Source organism: Homo sapiens, chromosome X, assembly GCF_000001405.40.
Source record: "Homo sapiens chromosome X, GRCh38.p14 Primary Assembly".
In the NCBI taxonomy this organism is placed as follows: Eukaryota; Metazoa; Chordata; class Mammalia; order Primates; family Hominidae; genus Homo; species Homo sapiens.
The window spans coordinates 84,736,355-84,757,087 of NC_000023.11; the positions used below are offsets into that span (position 1 = coordinate 84,736,355).

The 20,733-nt window shown below is 41.5% G+C and overlaps 2 pseudogenes; both read left to right on the top strand.

The window, feature by feature from the left end:
- Positions 1-20,733, top strand: part of TEX16P (testis expressed 16, pseudogene) — a 44,562-nt pseudogene that overhangs the window by 18,608 nt on the left and 5,221 nt on the right.
- Positions 18,715-20,323, top strand: SETP4 (SET pseudogene 4; annotated as a pseudogene).

Below are 20,733 nucleotides of genomic sequence, written 5' to 3' on the forward strand. Positions count from 1 at the left end.
GCTCTATGCAACAATTGAGACACAGACTAACTCTGGCTAACTTGTAAGCCTTGCAGGCTGACCTGAAAGCCTTGCAGGTTGAAGCAGTGTCATAATAGACAGGATACACACATAAGAAGTACAATCCCAGAAGGCACACATGTTACCCTTAGAAACACACCCCAAACTGAACATACATTCAGGCAATACAGGTTAAAGGATCCCCAGTGAATTCATCAGGACAAAATCACCATGGGGGACCTTTGCTCTAACATTTTCAGTCTAGTCCAATTAATTCAGTTTAGTCCTTGGTTTCAGAAGGATTGCCTAAAGACTGTTCCAAACAGTTTTGCTTGCCAATGACACCAGTTTATCCTACTCAGGACACTGGGAAGTGTTTTTGTGGAAAGTGCAGGAGCTAAGGCCACCCCCTACTGTCTCATAATCAGCATTGTCAGGTATAATCTTAGGCTCAGGAGTCAATTTTACTTCAAAGGGCTCATAGAAGCTTGGAAAGCCAGCATTGGCAGTCTTCAGGAAGAGAGGAAAGCTTCCAAGAACATTTTTGAAAAGCAAAGATCAGTAATGCTCTCCCTGATACCCATGCCTCCTCAGTTGTCAGGGTTTGTTTTTTCTCTGCTGTTACATCAGTGTGTTCCACTCATTGATATTTATATTTCATATTCAATAATCCCCCACATTTACCCAGACCTTTGTCATGATATGTTGTATGCAAAAGAGACATAAACATTTTTATAGAAAAATGTTTTTTATACAACTTAATGAGAAAGAAGTTATGTTCAAGAGTTCAGCAGGACAAAAATCATAATTTTTCAAAATAGTCTCACATAATCTTTCACCCTTTTGATCCTAATCATTAATCTGATGATCTGCCTAGAAAAGATTAATACATTTATTGGAACAGCAGCATTTAACAATAAAGTGTCTATATTTAATGTGATTACCAGAAGAAAGGTGAAGGAAGTCAGGCTGTTAGTACATTGTTGTGAACTGCAACTGATAGAGACAGGAGACAGCCAAGGGTCCCTAATGAAACCCCACCATCAAGCCTAAAATAGCCTGAAGCCTGAAAAACCAGACTGCTGGTCCCAAATGAAGCCTACTCTTTCCTGACTGATTCTCTGTGAATAATGCCCACCTGCTCACTGGGGGAAGGGGATGGAGCCACAGGAATTCATGCCTTGTGCAGCGGGGGAGGAGGCTGGCCTCTTCAGTTCCTGTGTGTTGGCCTGGTGTTCAATCTGTGAGTGGGAGCCTGTTGGCAGGACTCCCTCTCGCTTTGCTGAGAGTTGTTTTTCCTTTTTCCTTTTCACCCAATAAATTCTGCTCTTCACCCTTATATGTGTCCATGAGCATAATCTTTCTTGGTCGTATGACAAGAACCCAGTTGTAGCAGAACTAAAAAGAAAGTTCTGCAACATTTTTGGCATCCAGACGTGGGGCTTAAGGAGGGGTGAGTCAGATGTGAACCAAAAAACTGTTTTTCCTTTTGCTTCTAAGACTTTTTGTTCTCAGACTTCTTCTGAGGGTAAATGGTGCACAACCCTACCCTAACGGGTTTAGGTGAACATGGGATGGATTAGTCAATAGCAGCTCCCCGACTCCCTCCAGGCCAGGGCTGGGGTGCATGGCCCATGATCCAAGGGTGCCCAACGGTAGAAATCAATTAAGTTTCTCTCCCTGTTGGAGGAACACATTTGTATAAGAATAAGGTTCTTCCCCCAGGCATATTTCCGACCCTGCACTTTAAACCTTTTTATCCTTTTCTCTACCCTGTCAGCTGTTAACTTTTAAGTGAGAGGGTTTTTTTTTTTCCTTTTAGAAGATGTTTCACTAAGCCAGGAATGATAAGGATCACAGTTTATGTTATCTGTAAAGTTTTAATTATGAAAAAGGATTTGTGGGGTTGGTCTTAAGCTGTAGCCAATCTGGTGTGCTTTGCATGACTTTCTGTATGGTCAGTAGCAAACTTTGCTCCAGGCCTCCATCTTGTTTTACATCCTTGGGAGCGTGACCTGTAACCATGTGACAATGTTTTGTTTAGCCTCTGCCACTTTACAGTGGTGGCCAGATTCAATCCTGGCTTAGGGAATGAGTATTTTCAAGTTAATATCTATGTGACTTTTGCCATTTTCTGATTCTCTTTGTTAGGGACAAACTGCCCCCAAGAAAGCTTCTTGGTGCTGCCCACCCCTCCCCCTAATGCTCTGCAACTCTTCTCCGTGCCCATCCTTCCCCCAAGGCTCTTTACTTTTCTAAGCCCTTATCTAGGCACCATGGTGAAGCCAGCAGACTTCACTTATCAGACCTTGCTGCAATAAACAAAACCCCAATTACAAACCATCTGGACCACACAGGGGGAGATTGTGGGAAACATAAACAAACTTTACCTACACCCTTCTGTAATAAATGTCACAAGGTAATATGTGGCAAAATTAACCAGCAAACAATCCCAGGGTCTTTCTTCCCTCATGTAAACCCCTCATTTTGTATGCTCAGAGCTGCCTCCTCTGTGATGGAGCAGCTGTCAGGTTAATAAACTTCCTCGCCTGACCTTGGGTCCCTCTCTCATCCTTTCTCTCGGCTGACCTTATATTCTGGTGCCGAAACCCGGGAAGGCAATAGATTCTGGCTGGGACTCACTCTCTCTCTCTCTCTCTCTCTCTCTCTCTCTTCCCCTCCCTCCCCTATCACCCCTCTCCCGGCCAATCTCCTCTTTCCCAAACCTGCCAAAGACCCAGAGAATCTCCTAGACTCTCCCATTGCTGGCAACCTCATCCACCATCAAAGCCTCCACCAGGGTGAGTGAAAAGAGACTGTTGCCATTCCCCAGAACCCTTGACCATCCATCTCTCCACTTCCAAAAGACCCAGCGCTGGGCCAAGGGCTTCCTCCCATCTCTGAGCCTCCAGTTCCTCCATTTCAGGGATGCCTGACTCGGTGGTTACCTCCTTTATTCTGGAGAAGTTCCATGGGAAAGGGGACGCCCTCTCCCACCGTCCTTGTCATCAACAGTCTCTTCTTCCCCTACCCTCCCCTCCTCCATTCACTATAGGAGCCTCTCAATCTACCCCTTCCAAGACCACCCCCCTGGGTGTCTCCTCCGCAATCTCCATGCTCTCAGCCTCCATTCAGAAATCCATTCTAAGAGGTTTATCTTTTTCAATGTACTTAAAGACAAACAACTTTTGCCATCGAAATGGGAAATGGTCTGAGATTCCTTATGTTCAGGCTTTCTTCACTCTCTGTAATCACTCTTCCCTCTGTCAGTCCTGTTCTACTTTCCAAATCCTCTTCACCCACTCCAAACCTGACTTGCCTCCTGCCCCCCTCCCCACAGCCCCAGCTGAAGACTGCTCTTCCTTCGACCCTGCCAATTTTCCCCTTCCCTGAAAGCATCATGATCCTCCACCAGAGCATCATGATCCTCCACCGTATGTCCCCACTCCAGCTCTACCTCTCTCCCCTCCTCTCTCCAACCACCCTGCTTCTGACTCTGAGTCCTCTCTCTCTCCACCCCTCACCTCCTCTCTGGCCCAAGATGCTCAGCAACCAGCTCCCTTGCTTCCTCTCCAGGAAGTAGCAGGAGTCGAGGGGATCATCCATGTCCATGTCCCTTTTTCCCTCTCCGATCTCTCCCAAATTGAGAAATGTCTCAGATCCTTCTCCTCTGATCCCGATACTTATATCAAAGAATTTAAATATCTTACCCAATCTAATGAACTCACTTGGCATGATCTCTACATTATCCTCTTTTATACCCTCCTTCCAGAAGAGAAGAAAAGAGTGTGGCTCACAGCACAGGCACAAGCTGATGATCTTCATTGGCAAGATCCTACTAAGCCTGTAGAAGCCGCTGCTGTTACCTGGGAAAAGCCTTCCTGGGAGTACCAACCCACAAACTCCAGCCAAGCATCCCATAACCATATAATTACTTGCGTCACTGCAGGCATTAACAAAGCTGCCCATAAGGCTGTAAATTTTGAAAATCTTAAAGAAATTTCCCAAAACCAGATGAAAATCTTGCTCAATTCCTTTTCTGCCTTACAGAGGCTTTCCAAAAATATACCCACATTGACCCTGCCTCCCAGGAAGGAACTATTGTTCTTAATACCCATTTTATCTCCCAATCCACACCCAATATTCGGCACAAGCTTCAGAAGCTTGACGACAGCCCTCAAACCCCACAACGAGACCTTCTTAATTTAGCCTTCAAAGTCTTTTAACAATCGTGATGAGGAAAGAAAGGCAAAAACAGGCAGAGTTTCAAACGCTTGCCTCTGCCATCAGGGGCCCTGCAGGCAACAGGGCGCAGCTCCACATGGAAGCCTCCTAGCAATCCACCTCCACCTGGTGCCTGTTTCAAGTGCGGCAGTGAAGGCCACTAGTCCAGACAATGCCCTAACCCAGATAAGCCCACCAGGCTGTGCCCCTCTGCGGAGGACGCCACTGGAAGTCAGACTGTGAGTGGCCCCCACAAGGACTGCCCCCATCCCTTCCTGAACTGGCCAAAACCTCCTACTCAGATCTCATCGGCCTTGCCACTGAAGACTGATGGTGCCCTGGAACGGACGCCCTGGCAACTACCATCTCTTCATCCGAGCCAAGGGTAACCCTGATGGTGGCAGGTAGGCCAGTATGTTTTTTTTTTTCAATACTGGGACAACCTACTCTGCTTTACCTAATTTTTCAGGACCCACCAAGTCCTCCCAGGTCTCTGTTGTAGGAATTGATGGGCAAGTCTCCAAACCCCGAGCCACCCCTCCACTCTTCTGTTCCCTGCACACCTTTTCCTTCACTCACTCTTTCTTAGTCCTGCCCTCATGTCCAACTCTACTCCTAGGCAGAAACATCCTTTCAAAAATCCACACTACTCTCCACCTCCATGGTGACCTACTTAGGAATTCAACTTTCTCCTGGGGCCCGGGCTATGACCCAAACCCAAGTGGCACTAATAGATAAATAATCTGCCCTGCCCTCCTCCAACAGCGAAGTCCTTTCCTTCCTAGGACTAGCAGGCTTCTTTAGAATATAGATTCCCAACTTTGCCCTCCTAGCTCACCCCCTCTATGAAGTGGCAAAAGGCCCTCTCAGTTAATCCCCAAACTCCTCACATAACATACTCCCCAGCTCCGTGAACTCCAAACTGCTCTTGTCACTACACCAGCTCTGTCCTTACCTAGTATCTCCCAACCTTTCATTCTCTATACTGCCGAAAGCCAAGGAATAGCCCTCAGTATCTTAGGGCAGCAGAAAGAAGACCCTCCTTCCTTTGCCCCTGTAGCCTACCTCTCTAAACAATTAGACAACACAGTCAGAGGATGGCCAACCTGTCTTAGAGTGCTAGCAACAGCAGCCACTTTAGGTCCAAAAATAACCAGGAAACTAACATTCAGTCAAAATAACACTGTCTACAGTCCTCATAATCTACAGGATTTCCTCTTCTCCTGAGCATTAGGCTCCCTTCCTCCTTACCGGATTCGATCATTCCATGCCCTCTTTATCGAAAATCCCGAATTCAGTATTGCCAAAAGTGCTCCCCTCAAGCCAGCATCATTACTCCCCGTATCCCCTTCCCCTCCTACTCATTCTTGCACTGACATCCTAGATCACCTGCAGCCACACTTTCCAAGCATTTCCTCTGAGCCTCTCACCGACCCCAATGACCAACTATTTATAGATGCCTCCTCTTCTGGGCCCACTGGCTCTCCCAAAATTGCTAGGTAAGAGGTTGTTTCCCTTGACCAAGTAATTGAAGCTAAGCCCCTACCTCCAGGAACCTCCTCTCAAAAAGCAGAACTCATAGCTCTCACCAGAGTCCTAACCCTTTCTAAAGGCAAATGGATCAACATTTACACAGACTCCAAATATGCATATCACATTCTTCATTCTCACACCATCATCTGGCAAGAGAGGGGATTCCTCACTGCCAAAGGGACGCCTATCACTAACGGCCCCTTATTTACCAACTCCTTCAGGCTGCACATCTCCCAACTGAGGCAGGAGTTATACACTGTCGGGGACATCAAACAGAGACAGAAAGGCCTTTGAGGGAACAGATTAATCTCAAGAGGGAACAGAAAGGCCAACAAGGCAGCAGAGAACAGAATCTCAGGAGGGAACAGAAAGGGAATCTGAAGAGGGAACAGAAAGGCCAATGAGGCAGCAAAAAAGGCCTCCCTTTCTTCCACTCCTGCCTCCCTCCTCCTCATTACCCCTGCAATCCAAGCTCAATACTCTCCCACTGAAAAGGCTTTATTACTACAACAAGGAACCTTCCTCCAGGGGGACAGGATAGTTAAGGACCAGAAGCTAGTCCTTCCCCAGCTCCAAACCGACAAAATCCTGACATCTCTCCACCAATCCTTCCGTGCTGGTGCATGTCCCCTGTATCTCCTCTTCTGCCCATATTTCTTCTCCCCTCACCTATTCACCTCACTAAAAAACATAACTTCAAACTGTCATATATACTCTGTCACCTCCTTTCAAAGAGCCCTCCACTCCCCATCTATTCCTACACACCAGCTAAGAGGAGCACTCCCAGGAGAAGAGTGGCAAATATACTTCAGCCACATGCCTCCTGTCAAAAAAACAAAATTCCTTCTCACTCTTACAAACACCTTCTCTGGGTGGGTGGAGGTATTTCCTACCTCTTCAAAAAAAGCCACAGTAGTATCCCAGATCCTTATCACAAAAATCATCCCTAGGTTTAGTCTCCCTCACTCCATTCGATCAGACAATGGCCCTGGGTTTATCTCCCAAATCACCCAACAGGTCTCCCAGTCCCTCGGCGTCCAGTGACACCTTCATATCCCATATCGACCCCAATCATCAGGAAAAGTCAATAGGGCAAATGGAATCCTTAAAACTCAGTTGACCAAACTCACTCTAGAACTCCAGAGGCCCTGGACTTTCCTCCTACCCGTAGCTCTAGCCTGCATCAGAGCCAGCCCAAAGGCACTCTCTTTCCTCAGCCCATTTAAATTAATGTATAGACGCCCTTTCCTCTTACAAAATAGGCCTCCTTCTAATTCTCAATCAGGGGAATACCTCCAAACACTTTCCCCCATCTGCCATCTCCTCCACAAACAGTCAGACCAGGCCCTCCAAAAACCACATAAAGGCCCTTGACACCTCCCACCTCCTTAACAAAAATTCAGAGTACTGTAATGGCTGACACCTCCCCTATTTATCCCTCTTCTCTTGGCTCCCCTCTCCATACACCATCCCTATACACACCACCCATGACGGTCTCATCCCAACATCCAACAACACTCCCACATGAATCTTAGTAAACAGAAAACGCTTCCTCTTACACTGGGAAAAAAAAAAAAAAAAAAAAAAAGCCTCCCAGCTTAAACCAAACACCCTTTAACAACCACTTATAACAGCAGCCCTAGCTGGGACCCTAAGAGTATGGATGCTTGAGAATAACAAAATAGTACATCTTTTTAGCATACACAACCAGTTCTGTCTACCAAGCCAAGGCATACTTTTCCTATGTATACCTCAACTTATATTTCCCTCCCCTCTAACTGGACAGGCACCTGCACCCTGCTTTTCCTCAGTCCAAAAATCACTGTTGCCCCAGGAGACCAGCCCCTACTAATCCCAGTTAATATCCCTATCTGACACCACCATACTATACAACTCATACCTCTGTTAGTAGCCCTCAGAATAACTACAGGAGTTGGAACTGGGATTGTGGGATTAACCACCTCCGTTTCCTATTACCAATCCCTCTCCAAAGACTTCACGAATAGCTTGGAAGAGATAGCCAAATCCATTACAACTCTCCAATCACAAATAAATTCTTAGCAGCAGTAGTTCTTCAAAACTGCAGAGGCTTAGACCTATTCACAGCCAAAAAAGGAGAACTCTGCCTTTTTCTAGATGAACAGTATTGCTTTTATCTTAACCAATCTGGCGTAATACAAGATACTGTAAAAAGACTAAAGGACCGAGCACAAAAAATTAAAGAAAATGTCCCCTGATGGCCAGCGTGGCCCTCCTGGTCCTTTAGTACCTGGTTTCCATGCCTAAAGCCCCTCCTAGGCCCGGCTGTAACCATTCTTCTTTTTCTAGCATTTGGCCCTTGTCTCCTAGGCCTTCTCACCCAGTTTTTACAGGACCTTATCAGAGCCTTCATCCACGGGACAATACAAGATATGATGCTGCTCCAGGAATACCAACGGCTCCAAAAACGGCAGTCCCTGCTGTCTAGCCTTCCCCCACAACCGTTGCCCCTTCCCAGCAAGAAGCAGCCAGACGACAATGGAGCCCCTCTTCTATTACCTATTAAGAGGTTTGAATGTTGGGGACAAACTGCCCCCAAGAAAGCTTCTTGGTGCTTCCCACCCCTCCCCCTAAGGCATTGAAACTCTTCTCCATGCCCACCCTTCCCCAAGCCTCTTTACATTTCTAAGCCCTTATCTGGGCACCATGGTGAAGCCAACAGATTTCACTTATCAGACCTTGCTGCAATAAACAAACCCCAATTACAAACCATCTGGACCGCACAGGAGGAGGTCATGGGAAACATAAACTTTACGGACACTCTCCTGTAATAAACGTCACAAAGTAATATGTGGCAAAATTAACCAGCAAACAACCCCAGGGTCTTTCTTACCACATATAAACGCCTCATTTTGTAAGCTTAAGGCTGCCTCCTCTGTCTGTGATGGAGCAGCCGTCAGGTTAATAAACTTCCTCGCCTGACCTTGGGTCTCTCTCATCCTTTCTCTCAGCTGACCTTACACTCTTCCTCTCCATGAACAACTTCTAGCTTTTTTTTTTCCTTAAATCTTCCTTTCTCTGGGTTATTTTTAAAGCTTCTAAATTTTGTAAGAACTGCTTAACCCCTCTGAAAATACCTCATACAATGGCAGTTAAATCATAATCTTAATTGAGGCTTGTTGGTTTCACCTATGAAGTTACCTTTAGTGAAGTTTGAAAGCCAGAAATACTGACCACTTGGCATGGCTAAAGTCAGGTAATAAAGAAGTTAAAAGGATTTTCTTAAAGATCACTCAGCTTAATTGCAAGTGGATAGTGGATACCCAAGTTATAGGTACATTTAAAAGGCCTTTATGTTTTTCTTTTCTTATATATATATATATATTTTTTTTTTAGACGGAGTCTTGCTCTGTTGCCAGGCTGGAGTGCAGTGGCCTGATCTCGGCTCCCTGTAGCCTCCGCCTCCCAGGTTCAAGCGATTCTCCTGCCTCACCCTCCCGAATAGCTGGGACTACAGGCACACACCACCATGCCCAGCTAATTTTTGTATTTTTACTAGAGACAGGGTTTCACCATGTTGGCCAGGATGGTCTCAATCTCTTGACCTTGTGATCTGCCCGCTTGGCCTCCCAAAGTGCTGGGATTACAGGCTCGAACCACAGCAACTGGCCACTTGTATCTTCTTTTACTGGAAAAAGTGTTTTTTTCTTAGTTGACTGAATTCTCTTTTCTCTATTTTGTCTTGCCACTCTTAATGCATGCACGAGTGGCCAATAATCCACTTCTTAGGAGATTGGCAAATGAAAAATCTTATGGCTGCTGTGTTTTCTCCTGCCTGTCTGTGTAGTTATGTATGTATTGTGTGATGTCTATAAAAAAAAAAGAGCTCTAATTAATTGGTCTAAAAGACAAGCGCTTGAATCAAATATTTTTTAAAGGGGAGATAAAAGCTGTGGTACCTTTTAGTTCATGTGACTTTAATCTTTGTGAAATAAAAAAACCTTAAAGATTATTGGTGAAATACAGTTGTTGTCAAAATGTAAATAGGTGAACTAAATTATGCAGATCAGACACTAGGTTTACTAAATGTTTTAAGGTTATAAACTGCCTTTTCAGTTTTTGATAATGTTTTAACTTGCTGGCTTCACAATTGGTAAAGCCTGGAAATATATGAAATTAACCACATCCTTAATTATGCAGGAAGGAGTTAAACCTTTGCTGCACCTAGCACATAATTAAACCAATTTACCAGGTTTTACATTAAAGTTAAAATTTGCTAGGAGTTACCATTATAAGATGTAATTGAAACTACTGGAAATAGATTTACATGCAAGGTGTGTGAGAACAGTAAGATGTATTTTTAGTAAAAGATTATAAGAAGGTGTTGAAATGTAAATTCTTGCCTAGGGTTAAAAGATTATTTTGAATTAGATAAGAAAAAGCTGAAGGTTTAAACGAGTTGTGGAAGAATTGTAAAAAAATTAATCTTGCAAAAGAAATTCCATGTGTGAACATATTGACTAAATTTAAAAGGGTATTATATGGTTTTCTGTAAATTGAGCATTGAAATAAAAGCACAACAAAGTATGTTTAAGACACTACTCTGCTCTTTAGCAAAATTTGTATAGGGTTATAAAAGGCTTTTGCTTTTTTAAAATTCTGAGTCATCATTTTGGCAAAATAAATAACTTATGGTAATCTGAAATTCTATTTCATAACATCATGTTTTAAACCTCTAAAATATTTAACAGATCCAGAGGCAGATGATAATGGAAGTTAAAAGGCAAAGCATAGGTGAGCATGACTGATTCCTTCCAATTAAGCCACACTTCCCATTTCAAGGATAAAGGTCACGCTAGCATCCATGGCATAAATGAGGTCTAGGGAATTCAAAGGCTACTGACATCAGGAGAGATAGGGTGTATGTGGGTAAAAGTGGGTTCTCCCACCCCCAAGGCCCCCCATTAACTTGGGTGAAAGCCACTTTCACACCCATGGGTGGCACAGTCACTGGGACTCAGGGATACAAGGACGGAGGAAAGAAAAAGGAATGCCTCACTTTCCCTCCCTCATGTACTCAGGGTATTTGCTAGAAAGAGAAAGGAACCAGGGATGCCTACTCACCTCTTTCTAGATGAATAGCCATTTATCTTCAGTCTGTGCCCTTTTTTAATGCATCCTGAACCCCTGAGACTCCTTTGAAAAAAAGTCTTCTTTTTTTTTTTTCCTCCTCTGTCCTCTCTTCACTGATAGGTAATTGTGTCTCCATACTATGGGACACTCCTCAGATGCATCCTCCAAACTGGAAAGAGTTAATTTCCAAAATCTTACACTGGTTGACTCAGAATTGGGCTGAGGGGATGGGAATACAGAAGATTGACACGCCAGCAAAAAAGGGTAAAAGTGTGTTTTTTTGTTTTTTTGTTTTACCAGTTGGGCTTTTGGCCTTTCTCTCCCCGTGCAAACTGATAAAAGGTCTTGAGATTTTTGAGCTGTCCTAACCACCCCCAACCTTGTTTTGTGTTAATACATGTTTTCTAATAACTTGGTTTGTCTTGTCTCGCCTTCAGGCCGTGAAATTCCAAGTGATCATGCAGCCAAAGACTCAGACAATGGCCCCTTTTACCAGGAGCCCTTAGATAGACTTCTGAGGGAGATCTTACTGCCATTTTCCCAAAACGGTGCCCCCTGTCTGCAGGAAGCAGTTACGATTAGTCTTTGTCCTTATCTTTATCCTTATTCTAACTGCAGTTAGATGTACTTCTTTAGAGGGGGGAATGATAGAGACAGGAGACAGTCAAGGGTTCCCAGGAAAACCCTGCCTTCAAGCTTAAAAAAGCCTGAAGGCTGAAAAACCAGACTCCTGGTCCCAGATGAAGCCCACCCTTTCCTGACTAATTCTCTCTGAATAATACCCACTTGTGCACTTGGGGAAGGGGGTGGCCACATGGGAAGTTCATGCCTTGTGCTGAGGGTAGGAAGCTGACCTCTTCAGTTCCTGTGTGGTGGTCTGGTGTTCAATCTGTGAGGTGGGAGCCTGTTGGCAAGACTCCCATTTGCTTTGCTGAAAGTTGTTTTTCCTTTTTTCTTTTCACCCAATAAATTTCACTCCTCACTCTTCTATGTGTCCACAAACTTAATCTTTCCTGGTCGTGTGACAAGAACCCGGTTTTAGCTGAACTAAGGAGAAAGTTCTGCAACACAACTATTCTAAAAAGATAAACACAAGTCAGTGGCAGTGAGACATCCCCCAGAGGGTTCCAGAGTCAGATCTGTCAGGGGTGGATGGAGCAGTCATCCTTCTTGTAGCGTTCCCTCCTCCAACTTACAAAGAATCACAAGCTAAGAATGTAATTAGTCTCTGTAATGGAAATATAGAGGTTATCAGCATCTTGTTTTGAGATGAACTCATTAAAGGAAAATCCCTTTCCTGTGGGCATTGGTGTGTGACCCAAACAGTTGAGCCATCATCCATGATGTTTTCATAGTTTGTGACTGCACAAACCAGTGCATCTGAAACAGTCCCAGAGTCTGAGTTATTTCCATTGAGTAGAGAGATTTCACCAGATTTTAGTTTCGCACAGCTAGTTCTGGGATTGAAACAGCTAACAGCAGACATAGTGATATTTCATCTTACAGTCAGGTCCAGGCAATAAAGATCTGTAAATTCAGAAATAAATAATAATAAAAAAAAAAGGTAGTGGCTTTCTTTCAGCAGCAGCAAAGCCTAGATACTGTGGAGCCAGATATCCAGCCAAGGACCAACCTTGCAACAGTCTTTTCTAAGGATAGCAGCCTCAGGCCTGCTATGTTAACTGACCCACTGTCTAACCAGCCCCAATGAGATGAGCTGGGTACCTCAAAGGAAATGCAGAAATCACCCGTCTTCTGCACTGATCTCACTGGGAGCTGCAGACTGGATCTGTTCCTATTTGGCCATCTTGCCAGCCACCTCTGAGGAAATACTTAAATAAATGAAGAAGCTAGCCATGCAGATGTCTGGGGTAAGGGCACTCTAGGCCAAGGGAGCAAAATGTCAAAGGCTAGTAATAAAACCGCCTTTGCAAAAATTATAACAGGAAATTATGATAGTGAATGAGATCACACCTGACTGACTCCACCTTGCTTCCAACCTTTAAGCTGTCCTTGTTCATTCCTGGGCATAGGCCAAACTAACTTTGGGAAGGAATTCATTTCATGGTTTGACTCTGAAATAAAATTTATAATAGCCCTTTTCTGAAAAGACACCCTTCTTGCCCAGGACCAGTTTGCCTTGGCAGGACTAACAAGTTAACTACAAGATTAGAAATTATGGTTTAGGAGTCATGCAGCGTCTGACTTCAAGAGTCTGAACCTTCCCAAATTGCTCCTGGGAATAACAACACTATTGTAAAACCTCAGATCAGTGCTTGAGATATTTTACAGACCCTGCACTCAATGGATCTACTGACACCACCCAGATCAGTAATCTGGCTCAACCAGTTCTTCCATCCCACCCAGGAACAGAAGAAAAACTCACTTCGACCCCCTATGATTCGATCTCCTCAATATTCCGCACTGCCCAAGCCCCTACCCTTCAAATTATCTTTAAAAACTCTGGTCTCCAAATTCTCAAGGAGAGTGATTTGCATAATAAAACTCCGGTCTCCCACACAGCTGGCTCTGCATAAATTACTCTTTCTCCATTGCAATTTCCCTGTCTTGATAAATCAGCTCTGTCTAGTCAGCGGGCACTGTGAACCCATTGGGTGATTACACTAATGTGAGAAAATGAGAGGAAAATTATTGGAGATAAAGCTAGTAAATTAATAGAGATTCAGATTATGTAGTGCCTTGTGGCCTATTATAACATTCTTTGGCTTTTACTCAGAGATACAAATGATCGGAAGGTTCTGACAGAGTTATGACATAATTTCACATACATTTTAATAGAATCTCTCTGGATTCGTTTTGAGAATAGACTGTAAGGGGATAAGGGTAGCAGCAAGTAGACTATTTGGAAGGCTATTTCAATAATCCAGGTGAGAAACGGTAAGGGCTTGTATTCAACATGTAGCAGTGAAGGTGGTAAAAAGTGGTCAGATTTTTGTGAAGTGATCAGAAGTGGTCATATGTTTTTAAAGGTAGAAGCAACCGGATTTTCTGAGATTTGGATGTAAGAAAAAAGAAAAGAGAGGACTCAGGATATCAAGTGTTTGGTCCTAGTCAACTACATAAGGAAGCATTTGCCATTTAATTTAATGGGAAAGACTGAAAAGCAAGTTTAAGATCAGGGGGAAACTGGGAGTTCAGATTTGGACATATTAATATTTAGGTATCAACTGAAAAGCTAAGAAGTATCAAGTGGGCAGTAATTCATACAGCTCTAAAGTTCATCAAAGCAGACAGAGCTGCAAAAGCACATTTAAGAAATTGTAAATTAGATAAATAGATAGATAGATAGATAGGTAATTGATAGATACATAGATTGACTGATATGTAGGTATCTCTGAATAAGATCATCAAAAGCTTTATTATAGAAAAGAGAATTCTAAGGACTGATTTATGGGGCAATCCAATAATAAGATGTGAGAGAGATGAGGAAGAACCAGCAAACAAGACTGAGAAGGAGTAGCCAGTGAGATAGTAGGAAAAAATCATGAGAGTTCATGTGGTGTCAAAGCTAACAAATAAAGTGTAGGGAAGTGTAATCAACTGTATTAAGTGCTAATGATAGGTCAAGGAAGATAAAGGATAAGAAATAGCCTTAGATTTAGTAATATTAAGTTGACTGGTGATTTAAAAAAATTAAATAGTATCATGTTGACAAATGTTTGATTGTAGTGAGCTTTAGAATCTGGTAGAGTGCGGTGGAAAATTGATTCTAAATATTTCCACTTCTACTCCTCAAAACCATACAGAGTTTAGTTATGTATAGAAAAAGGGGAAAACACCACAAACTACATATTCTGTGATACTAGGAGATAAAGCCTGTAAAGATGTGTAGTCAAAATTGCCCTGTATTAGAGGAGTCTTCACCAGCTGTGTTGTGATACCATGGTGTTATAACAGGGAAGAATAAAAACAGTGAAGGGGTCTATCAGTGCCAGATCTCAGATATAAACAAAGAAACGTGGAAAACTACTGTGGCTTTTAGCCTTTATCTTCTTCCAGAGTAGTTGCCTGTTAAGGACTCATTCAGAAAAATTGAAGTTATTCAAACATGAGGCAAAGAAAATTCTGCTTACAGTTAGGAAATAAAAGGTTACTAGAGAATTCCCAGGTCAATTTTTATTCCTTACATCCCTTGTTGTATTCCACCTTAACAATAAGATAGCATCATAAATGCATTTTTTAAAATCAATGAATTGACAATGCAATGAAATCCGTATGAAGTAATATCAAATGAGAGAAAACTCCTTCCAAGGTAAGGCAAGACCCCCAAGCAATGTAATCTCTAAAGGCATAGTGGATAAAGGAGTGTATTAATTATCCATTGCCATATAACAAATTACTCCAAACTTAGTGGCTTAAAAAAATAAAGATTTACTACCTCATAATTTCTGTGGATCATGGTAGCTTCTTAGGGTGGTTCTGGCTCCAGGGCCTCTCATGAGGTTGCAGTCAAACTGTCAGTTGGGGTTGAATGGAGGAGGGTATGTTTCCATGTTTACTCATGTTGGGCCTTTTGGTAGTTGGCCTGAATGATTTCACCACATGACAGCTGATTTCCCTCTCCCTGAGGTTGTTTTACAACATAGTAGCTAGATTCCACAAGAGTACATGATTTAAGAGAGAGTGAGAGACAGTACATTCAAGAAAGAAACTGCACTCTTTTTGTAACCCAATCTAGGTGGGGCATACCATCATTTCTGCCACAATTTAGTCACTAGAAACTAGTCACTAATTCCAAGACGCTCTCAAGAGGAGGAAATTAAGTTGCACCCTTTAAAAGGAGGAGTATCAATAATTTGTGGACATACCTTTGAAATTACCACAAATAGTAAACCCAGCAAAATAGTAGATATTTCCAGAATAAAGATAAACCAACTGAAACTTTAGCAGCACATCTGGGCTGGCAAAAGAGATATCAAACAATTTGACCAATTGACATTTGTAGAACACTTTACTCAAGGACAGCAGAATACATATTCCTGTCTAGTACACATAGAAAATTTACCAAGATACCCCATATTCTAGGCCATAAGACATTTCTCAATAAATTTAAGAGGATTCAAGTCATATAAAGTATGTTCTCTGACCAGACTGGGATTAAATTAGAAAACAGTAACAGTAAGATTTCTGGAAACAAAAAATACCCATAGCTGTTCAGAAACTAAATAACATACTTCTAAGTAACACACAGGTCAATTAAAACCCTCTGGGGAATTAGAAAGCATTTGGGCTGCATTAAAATGGAAATACAACTGATCAAAATGTGTCAAATTATGCTAAAGCAGTATGTAGGGGAAAATTTATAGCACCAAACACATATATTGGAACAGAAGAAAGGCCTCAAATAATTGTCCTTTGCTTCCATATTAAGAAACTAGAGAATAGAAATTAATAAAATAGATAACATAAAAACAATAGACAAAATCAATGGAAACAAAGTGGTTCTTCAAGAAGATCAATATCATTGATAGAAAAGATAGAAGGCCCCATATTACCAATACTAGCAAGAAGAGGCATGGCATCACTGCAGGCTCTATTAGATATTAAAAAGAAATGTTTGATGACTTACATGAAAAGGAAAAATTTCTTGAAAGATAAACTTCAAGAAAATCACTCAAGAAGAAATAGATAACCTGATTATTCCTAATTCAATGAAATGTAATTCATTGTACTAACAAAGACAAAAAGAAAGACTAAGTCATTATCTCAATAAAGACAAATGAAGCACTGTACAATATCCAAAATCTATTCTCAAAAAAAATGCTCAACAAATTAAGAATGAGCTAACACACACACACACACACAAACTAGCACTAAGATTATACTTAATGGTAAAAGACTGAATGCTTTCCCCCTAAGATCTGACGTAAGGCTAGAATTTTGCTCTCACAGTCTGTTATCAATATTTTGTTGGAGATTCTATTCAAGATAATAAGGCAAGAAAACTAGGTTATATTAGAAAAGTAGTGAAACTATCTTAATTCACAGACATCATGAATGTCTGCATAGAAAATCTTATGGAATCTCCAACATAGTCTACCAGAACTAAGTGAGCTTGGTAACATTACAGGATACAAAGTTGGTATACAAAAATCAATTGTATCTCCATCTGCTATCAATAAACAGTTTGAAATTAAAATTTCTAAAACATATCATTGGCAATAGGATTAAAAACACATGAAATGTGAGAAATAAATCTAACAAAAGACATACTAGATATGAAAAATAAAAGCTAAAAAAGATTTCTGAGATACATTAAACAAGAACAAAATAAATAAACGCCCATGTTCATGCACAGGAAGTCTTGTTGTTAAGGTTTTCTTCATACTGATGTGTAGATTCAATGCACTTTTGATCAAAATCCAAGAAAATAAGTTGTTGTCCAAGATGTTGACAAACTATTTCTGAAATTTGTATGAGAATGCAAAGGACTTAAAATAATCAAAACAACTTTTAAAAAGAACAACACTCAGCCAGGCGCGGTGGCTCATGCCTGTAATCCCAGCACTTTGAGACGCCTAGATGGGCAGATCGCTTGAGCTCAGGAGGTCAAGACCAGCCTGGGCAACATTGCAAAACCCTGTCTTTACAAAAAATACAAAAAAATAGCGGAGCATGGTGGCACACATATGTATTACTAGCTACTGGGAGGCTGAGGTGGGAGGATCACCTGAGCCCAAGAGGTCAAGGCTGCAATGAGTGAAGATTGCACTACTGCATTCCATCCTGGGCAACAGAGTGAGATTCTGTCTCAAAAAACACAACAGAGTTCCCACAGACACTGTGCCACCACACAGGCACAGCCTCCTCAGCTGTCAACAACCTGCACCAGAGTGCTACATTTGTTACAATCAATGAATCTATACTGACATATAATTACAACCCCAAATCCATAATTTGCATTGAGGTACACTTTACAGGTTTTTAGAAATAAAAATGGCATATATCATATATTTTAGTATCACACAGAATAGTTTCATTCCCCCTAAAATTCCTCTATGTTCTACCTATTTATCTCTTCCTCTCCTCTTTTTCCTAGCAACCACTGATCCTTTCATTGTTTCCATAATTTTGCCTTTTCTAGAATGTCATGTGGTTGGAATCATACAGTAAATAGCCTTTCCAAAGTGGTGTCTTTCTTTCACTTAATAATATGCATTTAAGTTTTCGCCATGGTTTTTCATGGCTTGATAACTCAGTTCTTTTTATTACTGAATAATATTGCATTATGTAGATGTACCACAATTTATTTATACGTTCACCTACTGAAGGACATTTTGGGTGCTTCCAAGTTTTTGCAATTGTGAATAAAGCTGCTATAAACATCTTTGTACAGGTATTTTTGTGTAGCCATATATTTCAGTTCATTTGGGTAAACATAAAAGAGCATAATTGCTGGATCATATGATTAAGAGAATATTTAGTTTTGTAAGAATGTCAATCTATCTTTCAAAGTGGCTGTATCATTTTGTATTCCCAACAGCAATGAAAGAGAGTTCCTATTGCTTCACATTCTTACCAACATTTAACATTGTCAATGTTTTGGATGTTGGCCATTCTAATGCATGCACAGTGCATTTTTTAATCAGATTGTTCATTCTATTACTGTTGTATTTTAAGAGTTCTTTGTGTATTTTAGATATCAGTCCTTCATCAGATGTGTGTTTTGCAAATATTTTCTCTCAGTCTGTGGCTTATCTTCTCAGTCTCTTGAAGACCCATCTTTTACCAAGGGGCAACATCAATTCAGTGAAAAAAAAAGTGTTTAAAAAAAATGATGCTGGTACCATTGGATGTCCAAATGTAAAACAAAAACAAAACAAACAGTCTTCTGCCTGCTTCTGGACGAGCGAGGAGACTTGTGGTCTGGTTCTTGGACTTCCCTAGCAGCGTGGCATCCAAACGCCAATCTCCACTCTCACCTCAAAAGAAGAAATCAAGACCACCTCCTGCTCTGGGACCGGAGGAGACATTGGCCTCTGCAGGCTTGCCAAAGTAGGAAGAAAAAGAACAGCAAGAAGCCATTGAACACATTGATGAAGTACAAAATGAAATAGACAGACTTAATGAATAAGCCAGTGAGGAGATTTTGAAAGTAGAGCAGAAATATAAGAAAATCTGCCAACCATTTTTTCAGAAGGGGTCAGAATTGATAGCCAAAATTCCAAATTTTGGGGTAACAACATTTGTCAACCATCCACAAGTGTCTACACTGCTTGGGGAGGAGGACGAAGAGGCACTGCATTATTTGACCAGAGTTGAAGTGACAGAATTTGAAAATATTAAATCAGGTTAGAGAATAGATTTTTATTTTGATGAAAATCCTTACTTTGAAAATAAAGTTCTCTCCAAATAATTTCATCTGTATGAGAATGATGATCCATCTTCAAAGTCCACTGAAATCAAATGGAAATCTGGAAAGGATTTGATGAAATATTCAAGTCAAACACAGAATAAAGCCAGCAAGAAGAGGCAGCATGAGGAACCAGAGAGCTTCTTTACCTGGTTTACTGACCATTCTGATGCAGGTGCTGATGAGTTAGACGTCAACAAAGACGATATTTGGCCAAACCCATTACAGTACTACTTGGTTCCCCATATGGATGATGAAGAAGGGGAAGGAGGAGATGATGATGATGAAGAAGAGGAGGAAGGATTAGAAGATATTAGTGAAGAAGGGGATGAGGATGAAAGTGAAGAAGATGAAGATGATGATGAAGGGGAGGATGGAGAGGAGGATGAAAGAGAAGATGACTAATAGAACACTGATGGATTTCAAGCTTCCTTTTTCTAAATTTTCTCCAGTCCCTGGGAACAAGTTGCAGTCTTTTTTCACCCCCACCCCTCTTGTTCTCAGTTGCCCTCTTCTTGAGATCTCTTTTCTTTACACTATGTTTCTCAACCTATTTGGGGGAAAATACCTTGTGCAGAATGCAATGGGAAAAGAGTCTCTACCCCTTTCTGTTTGAAATTCATTTTTATCCCTTTCTGTCTGAACAAAAACTGTATGGAATCAACACCACCGAGCTCTGTGGGAAAAAAGAAAAACCTGCTCCCTTCACTCTGCTGGAAGCTGCAGGGTGCTAGGCCCCTGTGTAGTAGTGCATAAAATTCTAGCTTTTTTCCTCCTTTCTCTGTATATTGGGCTCAGAGAGTGCACTGTGTCTCCATGTGAATATGGACGGTTAGCATTTACCAACATGTGTCTGTCTACTTTCTCTTGTTTAAAAAAAGAAAAAAAAGTTATAAAAAACGGGGTTATGGAAGGTCAGCAAAGGGTGTGTTTGAGATGTTTGGGTAGGTTAAGTGGGCATTTTGACAGCATGGCTTCTCCTTTGGCATGTTTAATTGTGATATTTGACAGACATCCTTGCGGTTTAAGATGACACTTTTAAAATAAATTCTCTCCTAATGATGACTTGAGCCCTACTACTAAATGGGAGAATCAGCATAACCTGTAGGATCTTATTTGGAATTGACATTCTCTATTGTAATTTTGTTCCTGTTTATTCTTAAATTTTCTTTTTGTTTCACTGGAAAGGAAAGATGATGCTCAGTTTTAAACGTTAAAAGTGTACAAGTTACTTTGTTACAATAAAACTAAATGTGTACACCAAGAATTTGATGCTTTTCTTTCAGCATAGGTATGCTTACTATGACCTTCCAAGTTTGACTTGTATAACATCACTGTCGAACTTTGTCACCCTAACTTTGTATTTTTTGATATGCACTTTGCAGGATGACCTCAGGCCTATGTGGATTGAGTAATGGGATTTGAATCAATGCGTTAATGTCTCCATAGCTGGGAAACGTGGGTACAATTTGCCATTGGTTTCTGAAAGT